This window comes from Homo sapiens, chromosome 1, assembly GCF_000001405.40.
Source record: "Homo sapiens chromosome 1, GRCh38.p14 Primary Assembly".
Classification (NCBI taxonomy): Eukaryota; Metazoa; Chordata; class Mammalia; order Primates; family Hominidae; genus Homo; species Homo sapiens.
This window is the reverse complement of record NC_000001.11, coordinates 43,003,500-43,023,548: the sequence shown is the minus strand read 5'-3', so window position 1 is coordinate 43,023,548 and position 20,049 is coordinate 43,003,500. Positions and strand designations below refer to the sequence as shown.

The window sequence follows — 20,049 nt, the reverse complement described above, 5'->3', positions numbered from 1 at the left end:
AAAATGTCTTTATTTTAAAATGGTACCAGTGGGCTACCTCTCACCAAACCTGATGGGAAATGGTCATTGTCTCTCAGATGTCTCAGAAATATCCTAAATTCAATCTGTTCAAAACCAGACTGATAGGCTTATCCCCAAACCTACTTCTGCTCCAGTAGTACCACCAGGAATTGTTCCTGACACACTTAGGCAATGCTGCACAAAGCGCCTTCCACTTCACCTACACAGCTGCCTCCATCCCCTCCTCTCCATCTCCATCATCACCACCTTAGCCTCAAACTCCTTAATCACTCATCTGCAGCATAGCAGTGGTCTCCTAACAGCTAACTGTATTATGTTGGTGCACACACTTCACCTCCAAGCTGCAGCCAGAGGGATCTATTTGGAAGGCAAGTATGATCATGTAATCCTCACCCGCATTTATTATAAAATATGGACTAAGACTGAAATCCATAGCATGGCCTATAGGGCTTGTGAGGTCTGGCCTCTCCTCTCCTCTCCAGCCCTCCCTTACCCCATCCCCACCTTGCTCTCTGGGCTCTTACCACACTGGCCTCTTTTCAGTCCCTTTAACTAACTAGGATTCCCCATCACAGGGCTTGGCACATGTTGTTCCTCATCCTGAATGCTTTCCCATTCATGCTTCAGACCTTGGCTCAATTATCACTGCCTCAGAGAAGCCCTTCCTGACTTCACTAAGTGAGTTGAACGTCTTGTCCCATCTTCACTTAGCACTTAGCACCTCACCTTTGTAGTGGGTGCCACAGCTGTGATTTGATTATCTGTGTGCCTATCTGTTTCACTCACAATTCACTTCCTTTACTAAATTCCTAGGGAAGAGACAGGGTATGTCTTTCTTTGCTCACCATAGTAGCCTCAATGCCTGACCTAGTTGACCTAGTCCCTAGCATTAACAATAAATATGTGTGAAATGAATGAGCATACAGTGAGTACCTACTGTGTGCCACGCTCTTCTGCATATTCAGTTGCATTTACTCCTACCGCCAGCCTTTCCAGTTGGGTATTTTGTTCTTTATAAATGAGATGATCAAGGCTCAGGGAAGCTGAGAAACCTACGCATGGTCACACAGCTGGAAGTGACTGAGCCTGAGTCCTTGTCAGCTACCAGCTTCCTGGAAGGGGTGAGGGAGCATCTTCATATCCACTCCCATGCTCCATGGGTCTGTGCATAGGAGGTGCTTTACAGCATTACCTCAGTTCGCCCCCAGAATCGGCTTGTGATGTGGGTGCTCCAACCTTTTCCAAATGCAGTCATCTCATTGAATTACAGAAAGATTATGTGAGCAGCCTACAGTTACTCAGCAAAATTGCAGAGCTGGCCTTGTAATACAGAGTATCTGGGATGTTTTCACCGCACTGGGCACGATAGAACAGGCAGGTGAAATCAGCATGGAGGAATCGTTAACTCCCAAACAAAGGTCTGAGCTGGGTGCTGAACCTCCCCTCCGGTCACACTCACCACTCTGAGTCATCTGGGCTTTGGAAAATGCTCTTTCTTGGAGCTGCTCTGTTGGTGCATGACCCTGGCATTGGAGAGTGTCCAACCAAAGGGGAAGCAAGGGTGGGAGCCATGCTACATCCTGGTGCCAACTCAAGGAGGCTCATGTCAAGAAGGGAGGTGGCAGCGTGTCCCTGCAGCTGACCTTCCACCTCAGCTTAAAAATAAATTCTGGTTTTGGGGTGGCTTTTCCACCGAGTCTGTGTCAGCCATCATCTTCCCTCTGGGCACAGTGTGGAAGCACGGGGTGGGTGCGGCCCAGGAGGACGGTGCCAGGTGTCTGCAGGCCCTGGGCAGGATCAGCCAGTATCCAGCTGGACTAGAACCAAGAGCCCTTGGGCGCTGGAGCTGCTTGGGCCTGTGCCTCCCTGCCTGCCTTTCTTGTGAGATGGGAGAGGCTCATCAGCTGCGGTGGCTTATGGTAATAGTGGGGTTCCTAGGAAGACTTCTCTAGGCTGGCCAAGTGAAGACCACCATCTGACTGGTGGGATGGGCAGTCTGCCCACCTGCCTCCCTGTGGTGGATCCATTGGAGACCCCATGCTTTCCTCTGCAGGCCCACGGCTCATGCCTTCCTTCTAGGTATAACTGAATAGAGCAGTGTTTCTCAAATTATCTACAATCGATCTCAGACCCATCTTTTCAGGTCACACCCCTTGCATGTTGTGGCAATTCCAAATTACTATAAAACATTTCTAATTTTTTACTCAGGATTTTGGTACTTAGCTCACTGTGGTCTAGGAACAAGGAGTTAGCTGATTTGCATGGTCCACGGACCACACTTTGAGGACCACTGGAATCGAGGACCAATTGTCGGCTAAGATCTTGGGGGCGTGAGTGAGGGGACCCAGAAATGAGAAAGACCCTGTCTGTTGCCCTGGAGGAGCACAGGCTCTAGAGAAAGAGACCTGAATTCAATCCTGCCTTTTCACCTGCTAATAATGTTTGGCAGGTACTTCCTTTTGTTGTGCCTCAGTTTCTTTATCTGGAAAACAAGGATACCTATTATAGAAAGTAGCTATTGTTTCTTTCTTCTCATTGTCTGGACAAAGATATATAGCATCTGATTTTCCTTTACATTTGGGTAGATTGACCCCTTCCCATGGCTTCAGGGATGGGGATATAACCTAAGTGTGGCCAGTTAGCAAATCTGATCTCCCTGGTTTATGATTGGTCCAGAATTGTGCACACACCCAAGCTGATGCACTGAAGGTCTGTCATGGACCCCTCGCTGGATGTGTTGAAGAAAAGATGCTGTTTTTCTGCTGGGGTTGCTAAGTACAAGGATCATCTTTCTGAAAACAAAGTCAGTACAGAAGAAAGCCAAGCCAAAAGATGGAGAAAAAGGCTCCTTGAAACAGTGTTTGAGTGCCTGGTTCCAGACAAGCCTAAAGCTACACTGATTCATGGAACTTTCAATTAGGTGCTATACATCTTTTTAATTTTTTCCTAAGTTGGTTTGAGTTTAATTTTGTTACCCACAACCAAAGAATTTTTTTTTGTTTTTGTTTTTGTTGTTTTTTGAGATGGAGTCTTGCTTTGTCACCTAGGCTGGAGTGCAGTGGTATGATCTCGGCTCACTGCAACCTCCACCTCCCAGGTTCAAGAGATTCTCCTGCCTCAGCCCCCTGAGCAGCTGGGATTACAGGCACCCGCCACCACGCCCAGCTAATTTTTGTATTTTTAGTAGAGATTGGGCTTCATCATGTTGGCCAGGCTGGCCTTGAACTCCTGACCTCAAGTGATCTGCCCACTTTGGGCTCCCGAAGTGCTGGGATTACAGGCATGAGCCACTGTGCCCGGCCAAGAAATTTTAAAATACCAATCATGAGATGAAGTAATATATGAAAAGGGCTCACCACAGTGTCTGACACAGATTAAACACCCAATAAATGGAAACTATCATCATTATTCTCATCATCCAGTATCCATTGAGGTGTATTATATGCTGTGTACTGGGGATATGAAGATAAATCAGATATAATCTGTCCTTAAGAAGTTTCCAGTCTATGGGGAGGTATGAATCAAAGAGACCCAATTCTTGTAACAAACAGGGAAAAAGTCCATCAGGGTCAACAGAGCTGGACTAACCAAGGGTCATGTGGCTGCAGGAAGAGAAAGACACTGACGGGCTGGCGCAATGGCTCACACCTGTAATTCCAGCACTTTGGGAGGCCGAGGCAGGTGGATCACTTGAGCTCAGGAGTTTGAGACAAGCCTGGCCAACATGGTGAAACCCCGTCTCTACTAAAAATACAAAAATTAGCCGGGCGTGGTGGCACGTGCCTGTAGTCCCAGCTACGTGGGAAGCTGAGGCAGGAGAATTGCTTGAACCCAGGACACAGAGGTTGCAGTGAGCTGAGATTGTGCCACTGTACTCCAGCCTGGGCAACAGAGTGAGACTCCATCTCAATAAATAAATAATAAAATAAATAAAAATTGACTTTATTATAATTTTTAAGGAAGCTAAAGGCAAGAGAAATCCAACTGACTAATGCTCAGAAAAGATTTCCTGGTCTCTTCAGCACATAATGTTCCCTGCTAGTTTCACCCTTTTGATGCTTCCTAAATAAGACATGTCCTAGAGATGTTCATTCCTGCTGAGATGCACCATGCTCTTGGTATTCTGTCTTTCCCCTGCTCATTCACCCCACCCCTGCACCACACCCAATCATTTGCCAAATCCTGTTCATTCAAACCCTGCAATGGTCTTTCACAAGGCCGTCCCCTCCTGTCCATCTTCCCACTCCCCCGGCCCTGCTGCGCACACAGCCTCTACCCAGGATCCACTATATCCCATCTCACCTCCTCTTCCCACAGCACATTCCGGAGCTGGTGAGAGCTTCTCATTGCCTAAGAAATAAACAGCAAACCTCTAGTGGGACTGCAGGGCTTCCATGAACACTTCTCACTTTCCTTTCTAAAACAGGTGCTATTGGTACCCTGCCCATGCCCCTTAGCCCATCTGGAAAGTCACCTACGGATTTTGTGAAGGATTCTTGTACACACTGGTGGTTTCACGCCTCAAGCATTCACAGTCCTCTGCCCCAGGGCTTTCTTTGGTGGCTGGAGGTGGCTCACCCACCTGGGCAGGGTTGAATAGCCAGAGAGTTGATGTCCTGGGGAGCAACCCTCAACCACTGGAATTCTGGACCTACCAGAATAGGCAGACAAATACTCCAACATCGTTGCCTTTCTGCGGAACAATTCTAAAGTGTGTTGTACAGAGTCTCTCAGAGGGTCCTCAGTTACCCAACTTACTCATCTTTTATTGGCTTTCCTCTCTTCTCTGCCTCTCTTCGCCACTTCTTCACAGTGCTCCCTTCAACATCCTCTCAAATAAAATACTTGCCCACCCTCTTAAATCCTTGATTCAGCATCTACTTTGTGAGGTGCCCAAATCAGGACACTTTCAAAGCCTAGGCATAATTCCCATCACACTGTGTCATGCACCCTTAAGTACAACCAACTTAAAACTATATGCCCCCTGCTTTCACCCTTCTATGACTTTGTCTGGCTGTACCTTCACCTTGAAAGACTTCCCACTTTCACATCTGTCCTCTCCCATCTATTGTTCAAGAATCAACTCAGGTTTCAGTGTTTTTCATGATAAGCACAAGGAGTGATCCCTCAATGCTTTGAACTCCAGAGCAGTTTATCACTTCCTTCAGCATCACCTTTGTCCTCCAGGTTTCTCAACCTAGCGGAGTCTATTGACAAACTCTCCTTTACTTTTGTTCAGCTGATGACCCCCATGGCCGGATCTAAACCTTATCATTACCCAGTTCTGGGATCTTAGATTCTAGTGTTTCCTGGATGACCACAGATACCTTTGGCTTTCTTGCTCCAGGGACACCTGCTCTATGAGGTTATCGAGGTCCCCAATCTCTTCCTCCCTATCTCTCAGCCTCTCTAGACCAGGCCTACCCTACCAATCCCATCCAGGTGAATCTTTTCCTCTAACTCACCAATCCCTTGGCCTCTTCCATCCTTCCATTTGTACAAAACCCACGTCTCGGTCAGTTCACCCATCAGCTTCATTGGTTTCCTCTCACCAGTAGCCTCAGAAGAAGTGCAAATCAGTTAAGAGAGTACACAGGACTTACCAGGACTAAAACCCTAGCTCCACAGCTATTCACTGTATGACCTCAGGCAATGTAAGTTTTTGGACTGCAGCCTCCTTCTCTGTAAAAGAGAAAAATAATAAAATGTTCTTCTACCCTCAGATAAAATTCAGTATTATTGAACCTTCAGTGTAAGGTTCAATTTTTAAATACCAAAGACAGGACAAACCGTCAGTAACTAGTAATAGGTTGTGTTAATCTTGCTTCTATTACTGTGTGTCTACTTCATTTCGTTGCGGGGGTGTGGGGGGGTACTTAGAATTGTGCCTGGCACACGGTAGGCACTTCATAAATGCTGGCTGTTATTATTACTACTATACTAGTTTCCTACAGCTGCCATAACACACCACTACAAACTGAGTGGCTCAGAACAACGGAAGCGTATTTTCTTTTTCTTTTCTTTTTTTTTTTTTTTTTTTTGAGACAGTGTCTTGCTCTGTTGCCCACGCTGGAGTGCTGTGGCACAATCTCGGTTCATTGCAACCTCTGCCTCCTGGGTTCACGCCATTCTCCTGCCTCAGCCTCCTAAGTAGCTGGGATTACAGGCGCGTGCCACCATGCCCAGCTAATTTTTGTATTTTTAGTAGAGACGGGGTTTCACCATGTTGGTCAGGTTGGTCTCGAACTCCTGACCTTGTGATCCGCCTGCCTCGGCCTCCCAAAGTGCTAGGATTACAGGTGTGAGCCACCGCGCCCAGCTCGGAAGCATATTTTCTTACAGCTCTGGAGGGCAGTGTCTGCAGAGATGGCTCTTTGGAGGCTCTGAAGGGGCACTGACTAATGTCCCTCTCCTGGCTCCTGGTGACTGCTGGCAGTCCTTGGTGTTTTGGTTTAGAACTGTACTGCTCTAATCTCTGCCTCTATGCCCACATGGCCATCCTGCTCTGTGTCTCTGTCTCCAGTCTCCCTCTGATTTGCTCTTATAAGGACACTTGTTATTGCATTTAGGGCCCACCCTAAATCCAGGATGATCTTATCTTGAGATTCTTTTTGTCTTTTTGTTTGTTTGTTTGTTTGTTTTGAGACAGAGTTTCGCTTTTGTCGCCCGGGCTGGAGTGCAATGGTGCGATCTCGGCTTGCTGTAACCTCTGCCTCCCAGGTTCAAGCATTTCTCCTGACTCAGTCTCCTGAGTAGCCGGGATTACAGGGATGCGCCACCACGCCCGGCTAATTTTGTATTTTTAGTAGAGACAGGGTTTCTCCATATTGGTCAGGCTGGTCTCGAACTCCCAACCTCAGGTGATCCGTCCACCTCGGCCTCCCAAAATGCTAGGATTACAGGCGTGAGCCACCGTGCCCGGCCTCATCTTGAGATTCTTAATTACACTGGCAGATACCTATTTTGTCCAACTAGGGTCACATTCACAGGTTCCAGGGATTAGGACTTGGACATGTCTTTTGGGGGGTCACTATTCAACCCACTGCAATTTTCTTTACAAAGAGTTTCAGTGGAGAGGTGGGAGTGGAAGCCAGATTGCAGAGGATCAACAAAGAGGAGGCAAAGAAACGTAGGTGATTATTTTACATACATATTTTTTTGAGACAAGGTCTTTTTTTTTTGAGAAGGAGTCTTGCTCCGTTGCCCAGGCTGGAGTGCAGTGGTGCGACCTCACCTCACTGCAACCTCTGCCTCCCAGGTTCAACCAGTTCTCCTGCCTCAGCCTCCCAAGTAGCTGGGATTACAGGCGTGTGCCACCATGCCCGGTTAATTTTTGTAATTTTGGTAGAGACAGGGTTTCTCCATGTTGGTCAGGCTGGTCTCAAACTCCTGACCTTGTGATCTGCCTGCCTCAGCCTCCTAAAGTGCTGGGATTAGAGGAGTGAGCCACCGCGCCCGGCCTTGAGACAGTCTCCAGACTGGAGTGCAGTGGCACAATCTCAGCTCACTGCAACCTCCACCTCCCAGGCTCAAGTGATCCTCCCACCTCGGCCTCCTGTATAGTGAGTAGCTGGGACTACAGGCACACACCACCATGCCCAGCTAATTTTTTAAAAGTTTTTTGTAGACACACGGTTTCCCTGTATTGCCCAGGATGGTCTAGTATTTCTGGGCTCGAGCAATCCTCCCACCTCGGCTTCCCAAAATACTGGGATTACAGGCGTGAGCCACCAGGACCACCCTAGATGATTATTTTAGACACTTGGTTAAGAGGGGATGCAGATGAAGGGAGAAATGGAGGAGGGCTACAAGCAGAAGAGGGATTTTTGTTCCGTTTTAAAATATGGTGTATCTTTGAGTCTCTTGGGGGAAAAAAGATGAGAAAGACGGGGGAAGATCTTAAAGATATAGGAGAGGGAGGAACAATGAAGCAAGGAGCTGGCCCCAGAACTGAGTTGCCATCAATAAATCAGGGCTGAATTGATGACTCAGTAAACCCCAGGATGGGCCAGCCACAGACCAGCCACCATCAAGCAGGTCGGAACAGAGACATGGCCGGAGGAGAGAAGTGTGAGCCAAGGAGCCTCCAAGACAAGAGAAAACAAAACCAACCAAGCCTCTGGTGGAAGACCTGAGATTTGAAAAGGGATGAATCAGGATCATTCCCTGGGCAGTTTATAAACCACTTTCATCAGTTTCTCATCTGAAGCACTGATTCCTGCTGGAGGGCAGGCAGAGGAATCACAATGTTACCTGAACAGAGGAAGAAACCGAGACCCAGAAAGGCCTTGGGGCTAGTGGAGGACGCATAGGTAGTTGAGGTGTTCAGAGTTCCAGCTGAGGAGGCAGGAAGCCCAGGAAGTCCTGGGGAGGGGGGTCCTCTGTCTGACAGCAAGGAGAAGCAGTTATTGAGGCTTCCACTCAGAAATGGACACTTTTTATTTTAGTAGTTTTTGGGGTACAGGTGGTTTTTGGTTACATAGATAAGTTCTCTAGTGGTGATTTCGGACATTCTAGTTCTCCCAAGCTGTGTACATTGTACCCAATATGTAGTGTTTTATCCCTCACCCCCTCCCAAGCTTCCCACCTGAGTCCCCAAAGTCCATTATATCATTCTTATGCCTTTGCACCCTCATAGCTTAGCTCCCACTTTTTCTTTTTCCCCCAAGATGGAGTCTTGCTCTGTCACCGAGGCTGGAATGCAGTGGCGCAATCTCGGCTCACTGCAACCTCTGCCTCCCGGATTCAAGCGATTATCCTGCTTAGGCCTCCTAAGTAGCTGGGATTACAGGCATGTGCCACCACACTCGGCTAATTTTTGTATTCTTAGTAGAGATGGTGTTTCACCATGTTGGCCAGGCTAGTGTTGAACTATTGACCTTGTGATCTGCCCGCCTTGACCTCCCAAAGTGCTGGGATTACAGGCGTGAGCCAACATGCCCGGCCGCTTAGCTCCCACTTATAAGTGAGAATGTACAATATTTGGTTTTCCATTTCTGGGTTACTTCACTTAGAATAATGGCCTCCAGCTCCATCCAAGTTCCTGCAAAAGACATTATTTCATTCCTTTTTATAGCTGAGTAGTATTCCATGGTGTATATATACCGCATTTTCTTTATCCACTTGTTGATGGGCACTTAGGTCAGTTCCATATCTTTGCAACTGCGAATTGTGCTGCTAAAAACGTGTGTGCAGGTGTCGTTTTCATATAATGACTTTTTTTTCCTTTGGGTACATACCTAGTAGTGGGATTGCTGGATCACGTAGTAGATCTACTTTTAGTTCTTCAAGGAATCTCCATACTGTTTTCCATAGTGATTGTACTAATTTACATTCCCACCAGCAGTGTAAAAGTATTCCCTTTTCACCATACCCATACCAACATCTATTGTCTTTTGACTTTTTAATTATGGTCATTCTTGCATTAAGGCAAAGTGGTATCTCACTGTGGTTTTAATTTGCAAAAACTGAACACTTAAAATACTGTTGCTCTTTTTCCCCTTTTGCACTCTCCTCCCTGGGCTTCTATGAGACACATCTTCCCGGTTTTTCACCTCTTGGATCTTTCTCAAGATCCTTTCCAGAGTGCCTGTTGCTCCTCCGACCCTTTACAGTGGGCGCTGTCCAGGTACTTCTCCCCCACTAAACTGTTTCCCAGGGTGGGCTCTGGTGGCCCTGGGCTCCAATTCATACCTCTAGTCTATTCCTTCCAAACCTAATCTTCTGCCCAGCCCTGTCTCCTGAGCTCCAGATTCATATACCCAGCTGCCCACTCCCCTGTCCATCTGGGCGTCCCATGGGTACTTCAAACCCAACAGATACCAAACTGGACTCATCCCTTTTCCCCCAAAACGGGCTCCTCCTCTCATGTTCCCTGTCAGTTGCTGGCACTACCTGCCACAATTCTGCCTCTGCCTCTCCCCCAGCATCCTGTCAGTCACCAAGAGTTATCTGTCTCTTTTGGCTCATAAATATCTCATGACCTTGCCTCCCTCTCTCCATCCCCAGGCTTTGTCACCATGGCTTACCTGGACCCTACAACAGGCTCCCCCTGCCTGCTGGCCTTTCCAGTCCATCCTCCAAATGGCTACCCCATGATCTTCCTAAATCACAAAGATGATCCTCTTGCTCACCTCTTTAAAGATGTCTGTTGGCTTCTCCACTTCTGCTGGGTAAAGCACGAACTGGCATTCAAGGCCCTTGATGATCTGCCTCTGGCCATATTCTCCAGCCTTATCATGACCGCATGTATTCCACCCTCCAGCCACACCTATGATTTGCCATTTCACAAATGCCCCCCACCTTCATCTAGGTTGTTTATTCTCCTTCCCACCAGTGTCCACTTGAAGCCAGCTCAGGTATCTCCCCCTGCAAGAAGCTCTCCTGACCCTCCTTCCCATGAGTTAACTTCTCCACGTGTGCTCGCCCCCACTTCTCTCATCTGCTCACACTGTATGGTGATAGTCTACCTGCCTGTCTACCCACTAGTTGGTGCAGGGACATGTCTGGGTTCCCAGAGTGGAATCCAGGACCTCACACATGCTCTGTACTCAGTTAATGTTTCCTGGACTGTGCTGAATTGTCACAGTGTGAACCAAGCTGCCATCATTTGCAGTTTACAAATTCATTGCACCATTATTTTTCCACTCTTCTTCATGACACATAGTCAGCTCAAAATATCTTTACACAGCAAGTTTTTTTTTTTTTTCACCTTTGCATTAGATACTTGGAATATACTCCCCAAACTGGTTTCTCTTGGTCAGGGGTTGTACTTAAGTGTGTGGTTTTTATTAGAACTGCTAAATAGTTCTCCAGAAAGATTGTGTTTATTCACATCACCACTATGTATACAGGAAAGGTATGATACCTTTCCTCATCCATCATAAGGTTATTCTTTTTTTTTTTTTTTTTTGAGACGGAGTCTCACTCTGTCACCCAGGCTGGAGTGCAATGGTACGATCTCGGCTCACCGCAAACTCCGTCCCCCAGGCTCAAGCGATTCTCCTGCCTCAGCCTCCCAAGTAGCTGGGATTACAGGCATGCACCACCACACCTGGCTAATTTTGTATTTTTAGTAGAGACAGGGTTTCTCCATGTTGGTCAGGCTAGTCTTGAACCCCTGACCTCAGGTGATTCACCCGCCTCAGCCTCCCAAAGTGCTGGGATTAGAGGCGTGAGCCACCATACCAAGCAAGGTTATTCTTATAATAAAAGACAGATAAACAAGAAAAAAGCACAACAAATTTATTGAATCAAAGTTTTACATGACATAGGAGCCTTCAGAAATAAAGACCCAAAAGCCTAGAGAAAACTGTGTTTTGTGTTTAGGTTCAATGAGGAATGAACAGCCATGTGGAGATGTGATTGGACAAAGGGGCATGACCTCATGGTAATAGACTGAGCAGGGAGATCCAGCAAAGCCTATCCAGATTCTTTTTGGTCTCCTTGCGAAGCATTCCTTCCTGCAGTGTATGGGGCAGGACTGCTCTGGGATGAGGGTCTTCAAGGGGCAAGGGAAAACAGAGAGTGTAACCTTTCTAGATTTTATGGCTGGCTTAGGGGGAGAGAGGTTCTAGTTTCTATGACGTGCTTTGGGGAATAGGAATTCTGTTTTCTCTGATTTGCTTCAAGGGAGAAAGAGGAGCGGGAGACACAGGGCCTGGATATTTTGCTTCTCTTTGAGTTCAAGTACTCAGCATGCCAAAGTGCCATACATTGGGCTATCACGTTCTGAGCCTCAACACCTGCAACACTGCCAGCAGTGGGTTTTACTATTTTTTCATTCATATTTGCTACTTTAACGGGCATGCAGAGGTGATGGTCTCTTCCTTCAGGGAGGCTTCTATAATTCTAGAGAGACAGCTATGGTAGGGTGTGACAAGTGCCATAACAGAGGGGTGGGGTGTGGAGGGTAGCAGAGGAGACTGTGGGAGCCCAGGATGGCAGGGAGAGTCTAATCCAAGTTGTGGGGCTGAAGGAAAACTTCCTAAAGGAGAGGCCAGCTACCTCAGACTAATCAGGCTGATGCCTCCCACTGCCTCCGGTCTTCTATAGCATTCTTACTGCCATTGGCTTTCCTCATCTTATCTCTATCTTCTAGCTACAACAACTCAATGGGAATAGATACTTTTCCCATCTCACAAATGAGGAAACAGAGGCTCACAGGGACCACACAGCTAGAGACGGGGCTAGAACTCAAACCCAGCTCTATGTGATGTCCTTGGGCCAGTGCTCTTCCAGCCGTCCATGTTGATAAGGAACAAGGGACAGATAAGATACTTCCTAGGGATGACCAACCCGGGGAAGGGACTTTTTAGCAATTACCCTCATTCACTACAACCCTGGAGGGTGAGTAATGTCAGCCCCAGTCTATGAAGTCTAAACAACCTCCCCAAGGTCACACTGTGGTGCAAGATAGACTCTCATCCCTACAGAGGACTTCCCCTCCCTGCCACACCCATTTGAGAGGGAGCAAAATTTATGCCCCTCCCCTCTCAATTCATAAGTTGAAGTCCTAATCCCTTGTACCATAGAATATGACCTTATTTAGAGACAGGGTCTTTACAGAGGTAATCAAGTTAAAATGAAGCCGTTAGGGTGGACCCTAAACCAATATGATTGGTATCCTTATAAAAAGGGGACATTTGGGGCCAAGCGCGGTGGCTCACGCCTGTAATCCCTGCACTTTGGAAGGCCGAGGCTGGCGGATCACCTGAGGTTGGGAGTTTGAGACCAGCCTGACCAACATGGTGAAACCCCGTCTCTACTAAAAATACAAAATTAGCCAGGTGTGGTGGCATGCACCTGTAGTCCCAGCTACTTGGGAGGCTGAGGCAGGAGAATCCCTTGAACCCAGGAGGCAGAGTTTGCAGTGAGCCGAGATGGCGCCTCTGCACTCCAGCCTGGGCAATAACAGCGAAACTCCATCTCAAAAAAAAACATACACAAAAAACAAACAAAAAAAATGGCTAGGGGGCACAGAAATTTGGACAAGGAGATGGACGAGCATAGAGGAAAAAAGATGGGAAGAGACACAAGAAGAAACAAGACAAAGAACATGGGAAGCTACCAGAATTCACCTGGCATGTTCCATACCAGAGAGGCATGGAACGGATTCTCCCTTACAGCCCTCCGAAGGAACTAACCCTGCCAATACCTTAATGTAAGACTTCCAGCCTCCAGAACTGTGAGATAATACATTTTTGTTGTTTAAGCCCCTTAATTTGTAGTACTTTGTTATGGAAACCCCAGTAAATTAATAAAGGGAAAACTGCCACCCACCCCCAAAACAGGGGATCCTGAAGATATTTTTGAACAAATAATTTTTGTGATTTCAAATTTGGTAATGTCTTCATTATATTTTTTATTGAAGAAAATTGGGGCCAGGTGTGGTGGCTCACCCCTGTAGTCCCAGCACTTTGGAAGGCCAAGGCAGGTGGATCACCTGAGATCAGGAGTTTGAGACCAGCCTGACCAACATGGTGAAACCCCGCCTCTACTAAAAACACAAAATTAGCTGGGCGTGTTGGCGGGCACCTGTAATCCCAGCTACTTGGGAGGCTGAGGCAGGAGAATTGGACCTGGGAGGCGGAGGCTGCAGTGAGCTGCGATGGCGCCACTGCACTCCAGACTGGGCAATGAGAGTGAAACTTGTCTCAAAAAAAAAAAAAAAAGAAAATTGGGAAAAGATTAGAAAGAATGAAGGAAAAAAGTAAAAACACATGCCCTCTCCCCTTGCTGTTAACATTTTGTTGCATTTCCTCGCATATATATTTCTTTGAATATATATATTCAATATATACATTATATATGCAAAATATATGTATTCAATATATATCTATTTTTTTTTCATGCAGTTACTAGAATCTTCTTTCCAGGGCTGCTGTGATGCTCGAATGGGAGATTGGGATTGGCTCCCAGTCCAGCACCATGCATGGTAGATATTATTTATACAGTTACTGTATAAAATTGGAGTCATGCTGTTTTACAACTTCCTCTTTTCACTTACCAGCTTATCTTCAGTGTTTCCCATGTCTTTCATATTCTTCAAGAACATGACAGTTAATTTCTGCAGTCTTCAGTCTGCGAATGAGGCATAACCTACTTACCCAATTCCCTGTCATTGAACATTTAGAGAATTTCCAGTTTTTCCCAGTTATAAATAAGACTGGGATAAATAATCTTTTATTTTAGGATATGCCCCAGAAACAGAATTGCTAAGTCAAATTCTAATTCTTTTAAAGGCTTTTGTACATACTGTGACATGTTCCTGCAGAAAAGTGGTACAATTTACCTCCTTAGCAGTGAAAAAAGCACTCCCTTTCCCACACCTCACCAACATCTGGTGTTTTCACTTCTATTATCTTGACCAGTTCTATAGATAGGAAAAAGCATACTCTTTTTTTTCATTTGTACTTTGGGATTTCTAGCGTTTTCACAGGTTTTTGTATTTCTTCAGTGAACTACGTTAATCATCCTTTGCGTGTGTCCACTGGTCAGTTCCTCTTATTGTTAAGGGTTTAGCAGGACTTGAAAGGGCCGCTGCAGATGGGAGCCCACGGGCAGCTTCCTCCCCACCCTTCTGACCCTCCTCCTCCCACATTCCCATCCTCTAGAGCTTTCCTTTGCTCTCCAGGGAACCTTTGTCATTCAAACAGGCCGCTGCTTCCCAGGGCCCTGGGAAAGCCACCTCCGGAGGCCCTCTCCACTTTTGACTGCTTTCCCTCCGGAGCCCCACATTCCTGCCTCACCTCTCCCCACGCCCTGCACATCCTCCCTCGAAATTCTTCAAGGAGGCCCAAAGCCACAGGGGACCCAGCCCCTGGCCTAGCCCTAGAGCAAGAATCCCAACCCCGCCCTGCTCCAGCTTGAAAGCAGGAGAGACGGGGCTAGGTGGGGAGGAACATCTGTCCTTGGGGGAAGGCCTGGGAGAGAAAGGCCACAGCACGCGGTGGAAGAAAGAACCCGTCTTTGATGTCTTGTGAAGTCTGACGTCATTCTAGAACCAAGGTCAAATCCCAGGCCAGCCACTTTCGGGCCACATCGCATCACTAGTTTGCAGGGCTGCAGTGAAGGTCAAATGTAACTTACATGTAATGCTTCTGGAACAAAAAGTCAGGTGAACTGATTACCGCAAAGCCCCAAGGATCAGGCACGGCTTCTCCAGGAGAGATGGCCCTTGGAGAGGCCGGCTTTGCCCTAGTGGCTGGAGAGTGTATCCGGCAGAAGGGGCAGCCTAGGAAAAGGCTGGGAGGCCAGGGGTACCGGGTGTGCAGTGTGGCTGGGCATGGACACGCGAATGAAGGGCCTCAGGGCACACACGGAGTCCCGAGAGGGAAGCTCAGACATCAGCCCAGACGGTGGACGGGACTCCACGCTAGACTTGGGAGACCTCGGTTTCCATCCCTATCGGTCTCCAGCTTCACTCATCCTATCACCCACAGAAGACTTTCCTGGGCGGCCAGGCAGTATGCCGGCCCCACCCAGGACCTGGAGGGGTTCAAAGACAAGCGATCAGGGCAAAGCGGGTGCCCCAGGGAGAGTGATTAAAACTGGGAATCAGCGGAGGCTTCTGAGAAGCAGCCTTTGAACTGGGCCTTAGGGTGCGACTGAGGGTGGGGAAGGCGGCCATTGCAAGCAGGGGGGTCGCAGGGGACGGGAAGGCGAAGTCTGGCTTCTTTGAGGGTGGCCGAGCAAGGAAAGGGGCGAGATGAAGTGGGCGAAGGGCGCTAGGGCCCCGACCCCAAAAGCCCACGCAGGAGAGGGGTGCCAGAGTCCAGCTTCACAAAGACCCGCCTGGAGCTGCCGCAGCCCCAGGCCCGGGAATGTGGGGCGGGGACGGGGAGGGGAGGGGAAGGAGGGGGCCGCGGGCCGGCAGCACGTAGCGCTCGTAGGCCGGGCGCGCCAGGGCAGGTAACAAAGCTGCCAGTGTGCCGGCGGCGGGGCGGGGCTGCCCGATACCTGTCTGGCGGGGGGCCGGGGCCCCAAAGGGGAGGGCAGCGGGGGCTGCTGGGCACAGTAGGCCGCGGCCTGCGCTCTGCCGAGCCTTCCCCTGCCGCAGCCTCCCCAGCGGAGCCGCAGCCCGAGAAAAGCGACACAGTCGGTTTTGCAGACTAGATGCCCGAAGCCCAGACACTAATAGGGCCTGGCCCGGGGTCGCGCAGGAGTCGTGAGATGCACAGCTCTGTGCCAAGGAGGGCTGGCGAGGAAATCCTCACCCAGGTCCCGGCCACATGCTCGTTCGCTGGGTGGGGCGGGGAGTCTGCCCCAGGCTTCTGAGCGGAGTTGGAATTCGGATGCATGGATATTCGGGTGCACGGCTCTGCGCCCCGTAATTTCTTCTCTAAGAGGCGAGAAGAGTCCCCCTAGACGGGCTGATCTCCAAGTGGCTCTTTCCAACAAGGTTAAAAAGCAGTCTTGTCGGCCGGGCATGGTGGCTCACGCCCGTAATCCCAGCACTTTGGGAGGCCGAGGCGGGCGGATCACGAGGTCAGGAGATTGAGACCATCCTGGCCAGCACGGTGAAACCCTGTCTCTACTAAAAAATACAAAAAATTAGCCGGGCGTGGTGGCGGGCGCCTGTAGTCCCAGCTACTCAGGAGGCTGAGGCTAGAGAATGTTGTGAACCCGGGAGGCGGAGCTTGCAGCGAGCCCAGATCTCGCGACTGCACTCCAGCCTGGGCAACAGAGCAAGACTCCGTCTCAAAAAAAAAAAAAAAAAAAAAAAAAAGGCAGTCTTGTCCACATCAAAGGAAGCGAGGAGGGCTGGCCTGATGGAGGTTGGGGGCCACCAGAGCCTCCGCACCCCATCTGTGGCGTCACCGTCGCGGGTTCCCTACTACAGGATGCCTCCATGGAACTCACTATCCCCGTGCGCGTGCCCGTACGTGTGGTCCCACAGACCTGTCCACGCCTGACCTCACACACGTGCACAGGTCGGCTTGTGCTCCCCACACGCAAGAGATCCTGTCAAGGGGTGCTGGAGAGTGAACCCTAGAATGACCCTTTGAGATCCTTCTTGCTCTTCCCCCACCCCTTTCGCCGGGGTCCTTTGTCCTCTGTGCAGGGCAATCCAGGGGCAGATGGAAGAAAAGAATTGGGTCAGACTCTTAGGGAACAAAGACACTTTGGGAGGGAAGTGTCCTCTCTACTGGAATCAGCTGCCCTCCCCCAGGGACCCCACAGCTCAGTCCTTTGCAGAGGAATCCTCCATCCCCCCACCAAAGCTAACAAATGGGCAAGACCACCCAGGATAGAGAGGGGGAGCAGAGAGCTAAGAGGCCAGGCCCCCATCCCAGCGTTTGGGCGTGGAGGTGGCTGCCTCATTAGTACCGTGGGGCACGGGGTGGCTGATGGCTGTGCTCCAAGGCCCTCAGTCCCGACTGCTTTGGAGCTTATCAGCCGACCTGGGGATAGGGGCCGACATGGCCACGCCCTCTCCCCTACCCTGGCAGCCTGGCCTAGAGCCCCCATTCCTGGAAAGGGAGCCCTGAGAGCAGCAGAGAGAGGCTCTGAGGCGCCGAATAGTCTGGCCCAGTCTCCTCTATGTCAGCTAAAGAGAAATGAGACCAGGCCCCTGCCCTGGAGGTGTCGAGGGCGCTGAGCAACAGGCACAAACACAGATGCAGACGGGCTACAGCCCCAGGTGCTCAGTGCTCAGACCAGTGTTCAGAAAGATTAGATGGATAAGCGGATGAGTGAATGCACGTCCATGAATTCATTTGGATAGAAAACCCTAGGCACTCCCAGGCTGGGGCTTCTTGCAGTTTGTCACTGCTCTGACCCTAGTGTGGTCAGACTGCAGCTCCCCTGGGCCAGGAAACCCTCTGATTCGACTCCCAGCCCAAGGCCTGACATTTACAAGGTAGTCAAGCTGTGCTTCCTGAAAATCCAGAGTAGCATGCTGATGTGTCCACCTCCCCACCAAACAGTACTCCTTGCACGTATCTTCAGGTATGGCTCAGATTCCTTCCCCCGTCTTCCATCCCAATATCCCCTATAGGGTAAGCAAACTGTGACAAAAGACAAATACCAGAATGAAGGCAGGCCTGGTCACTTCTTGGCTATGTGCATCTGAGCAGTCATTTCTCTCTCTGACCCTTAGTTTCCTTATCGGTAAAATGGAGGCAAAGATGCCTTTTCCACTTGATGGGATTGGGGTCACGTGCAGCACTACCCCTCCCCCTCAGCTCCCTCCTCAGCACCCAGGGCTCTTTGTTCAACCTGTACATGCTCTTACCTACTTCTCCCTTTTTATCTGCATCTATACCTGCACTAGTGGCTCCCCAAGGGCGATGGCCTCCATCTCTCTGTGCCACTACTGCCCAGCATTGCCCAACATATGCTTCAGCACATGCCCATGGAAGTCAGTGTTGGTGGAATGGTAAGCAATGAGTGAAAACATTTTGTTAACCAGAGAAGGCTGTGCGAATACGAGGGCTTGTGTCATGATAATATTTTAAATCACAGTAGTTTAGGACTTGAACATAATCTTACAGATTAACTGAGTTCTCCCATTTGACAGATGAGGAAATTGAGGCCCAGAATGTGAAACAGACTGCCAGTGATCACTCACAGAGGTTGTCCAGCTTGGACCTTGATATGCTTTGGCTGTGTCCCCACTCAAATCTCATCTTGAATTGTAGTACTCATAATCCCCACGTTTCATGGGAGGGACTAAGTAGAGATAATTGAATCATGAGGGTGGTTTCCCCCATCCTGTTCTCAGGATAGCATGATAGTGAGTTAGTTCTCATGAGATATGATGGTTTCATAAGGGGCTTCCCCCTTGGCTGGGCACTCACATCTCTCGCCAGAGACCATATAAGACGTGACTGTTTTGCCTTCTGCCGTGATTGTAAGTTTCCTGAGGCCTCCCTAGCCATGCAGAACTGTGAGTCAATTAAACTTCTTTTCTTTCTTTTTTTTTTTTTGAGATGGAGTCTCACTCTGTCGCCCAGGCTGGAGTGCAGTGGCACGAACTTTGCTCATTGCAACCTCTGCCTCCCTGGTTCAAGCGATTCTCCTGCCTCAGGGTCTTGAGTAGCTGGGATTACAGGTGAGCACCACCACGCCCGGCTAATTTTTGTATTTTTAGTAGAGACGGGATTTCACCATGTTGGCCAGTCTGGTCTCGAACGCCTGACCTTGTGATCCGCCTGCATTGGCCTCCCAAAGTGCTGGGATTACAGGCTTAAGCTGCCGCACCTGACCACGTTTTTTCTTTATAAATTACCCAGTCTTGAGTATGTCTTCATAGCAGCATGAAAACAGACTAATACGGACCTCAACTGAAGTATCTTAACTCCCAGGAGAGAGGGGCCTCCCTATAGACACTCCTCTCTGCATGGCTTCAGCCAGTGCAGACAAGGGTAAGCCAGTACTTGGAACCCTGTCTCCCAGTGACTGCCTTCCCCAAGAGATCTGACAGCCATGAATGCATCCGGGGTTCCTGAGGGCCAAAGACAGGGTGCTGTTTTAAAGATGCTGTGAACGCTCAGTGTGCACTTACAGTAGAAGGCAGAGGCAGTGACAGCAGCAAGGCAGAGCTGGAATCTTCACTGTAGGTTTCCCACTGTCATTCCCAGGACAGTGGAATCAGTATGGATTTCAGAGTCACACCAACTTGGCTTTGAATCCTGACTCTGAAACCCATTAGCTGGGCGAGTTTCTTGGGCAAGTTATTTCATCTATGAGCCTCAGTTTCTTCACCCATAATTCCATAATATTGGAATATGAATTCCTATCTGATAATCCAGTTGAGACGACTCAGTAAGAACATAAGCAAAAGCATCTGAGTCCAGAGTAAGAAGACCATCTCTTCCCTTCCTACCTTCAGTTTCCCCTCTACTTCCAGGATGGAATAAGGAAAGATTCCTGGCTGCTGCCCCTTCCACCACAGTCTAGAAGCCATCATAAGGAGGATAGTAGTGTGGGGTGGTGAGGTTTGGGGGAAGCCAAAAGTGGTACCTCAAAAGATATCCACATCATTATGTTGGGCATGGTGGCTCACACCTGTAATCCCAGCAC

General features: G+C 49.0%; 4 annotated features.

The window, feature by feature from the left end:
- Window positions 13,774-14,481: an enhancer, noted in NCBI's record as "OCT4-NANOG-H3K27ac hESC enhancer chr1:43474739-43475446 (GRCh37/hg19 assembly coordinates)". NCBI's record gives its function as "activates a minimal SCP1, AML or CMV promoter by ChIP-STARR-seq in primed H9 embryonic stem cells {active_cell/tissue: H9 hESC(primed)}" and the evidence as "EXISTENCE:reporter gene assay evidence [ECO:0000049][PMID:30033119]".
- Window positions 14,482-15,190: an enhancer, noted in NCBI's record as "OCT4-NANOG-H3K27ac-H3K4me1 hESC enhancer chr1:43474030-43474738 (GRCh37/hg19 assembly coordinates)". NCBI's record gives its function as "activates a minimal SCP1, AML or CMV promoter by ChIP-STARR-seq in naive and primed H9 embryonic stem cells {active_cell/tissue: H9 hESC(naive and primed)}" and the evidence as "EXISTENCE:reporter gene assay evidence [ECO:0000049][PMID:30033119]".
- Window positions 14,667-14,961: a silencer, noted in NCBI's record as "tiled region #10275; K562 Repressive non-DNase unmatched - State 8:EnhW". NCBI's record gives its function as "represses a minimal TATA promoter and a strong SV40 promoter by Sharpr-MPRA in K562 cells {active_cell/tissue: K562}" and the evidence as "EXISTENCE:reporter gene assay evidence [ECO:0000049][PMID:27701403]".
- Window positions 15,191-15,898: an enhancer, noted in NCBI's record as "NANOG-H3K27ac-H3K4me1 hESC enhancer chr1:43473322-43474029 (GRCh37/hg19 assembly coordinates)". NCBI's record gives its function as "activates a minimal SCP1, AML or CMV promoter by ChIP-STARR-seq in naive and primed H9 embryonic stem cells {active_cell/tissue: H9 hESC(naive and primed)}" and the evidence as "EXISTENCE:reporter gene assay evidence [ECO:0000049][PMID:30033119]".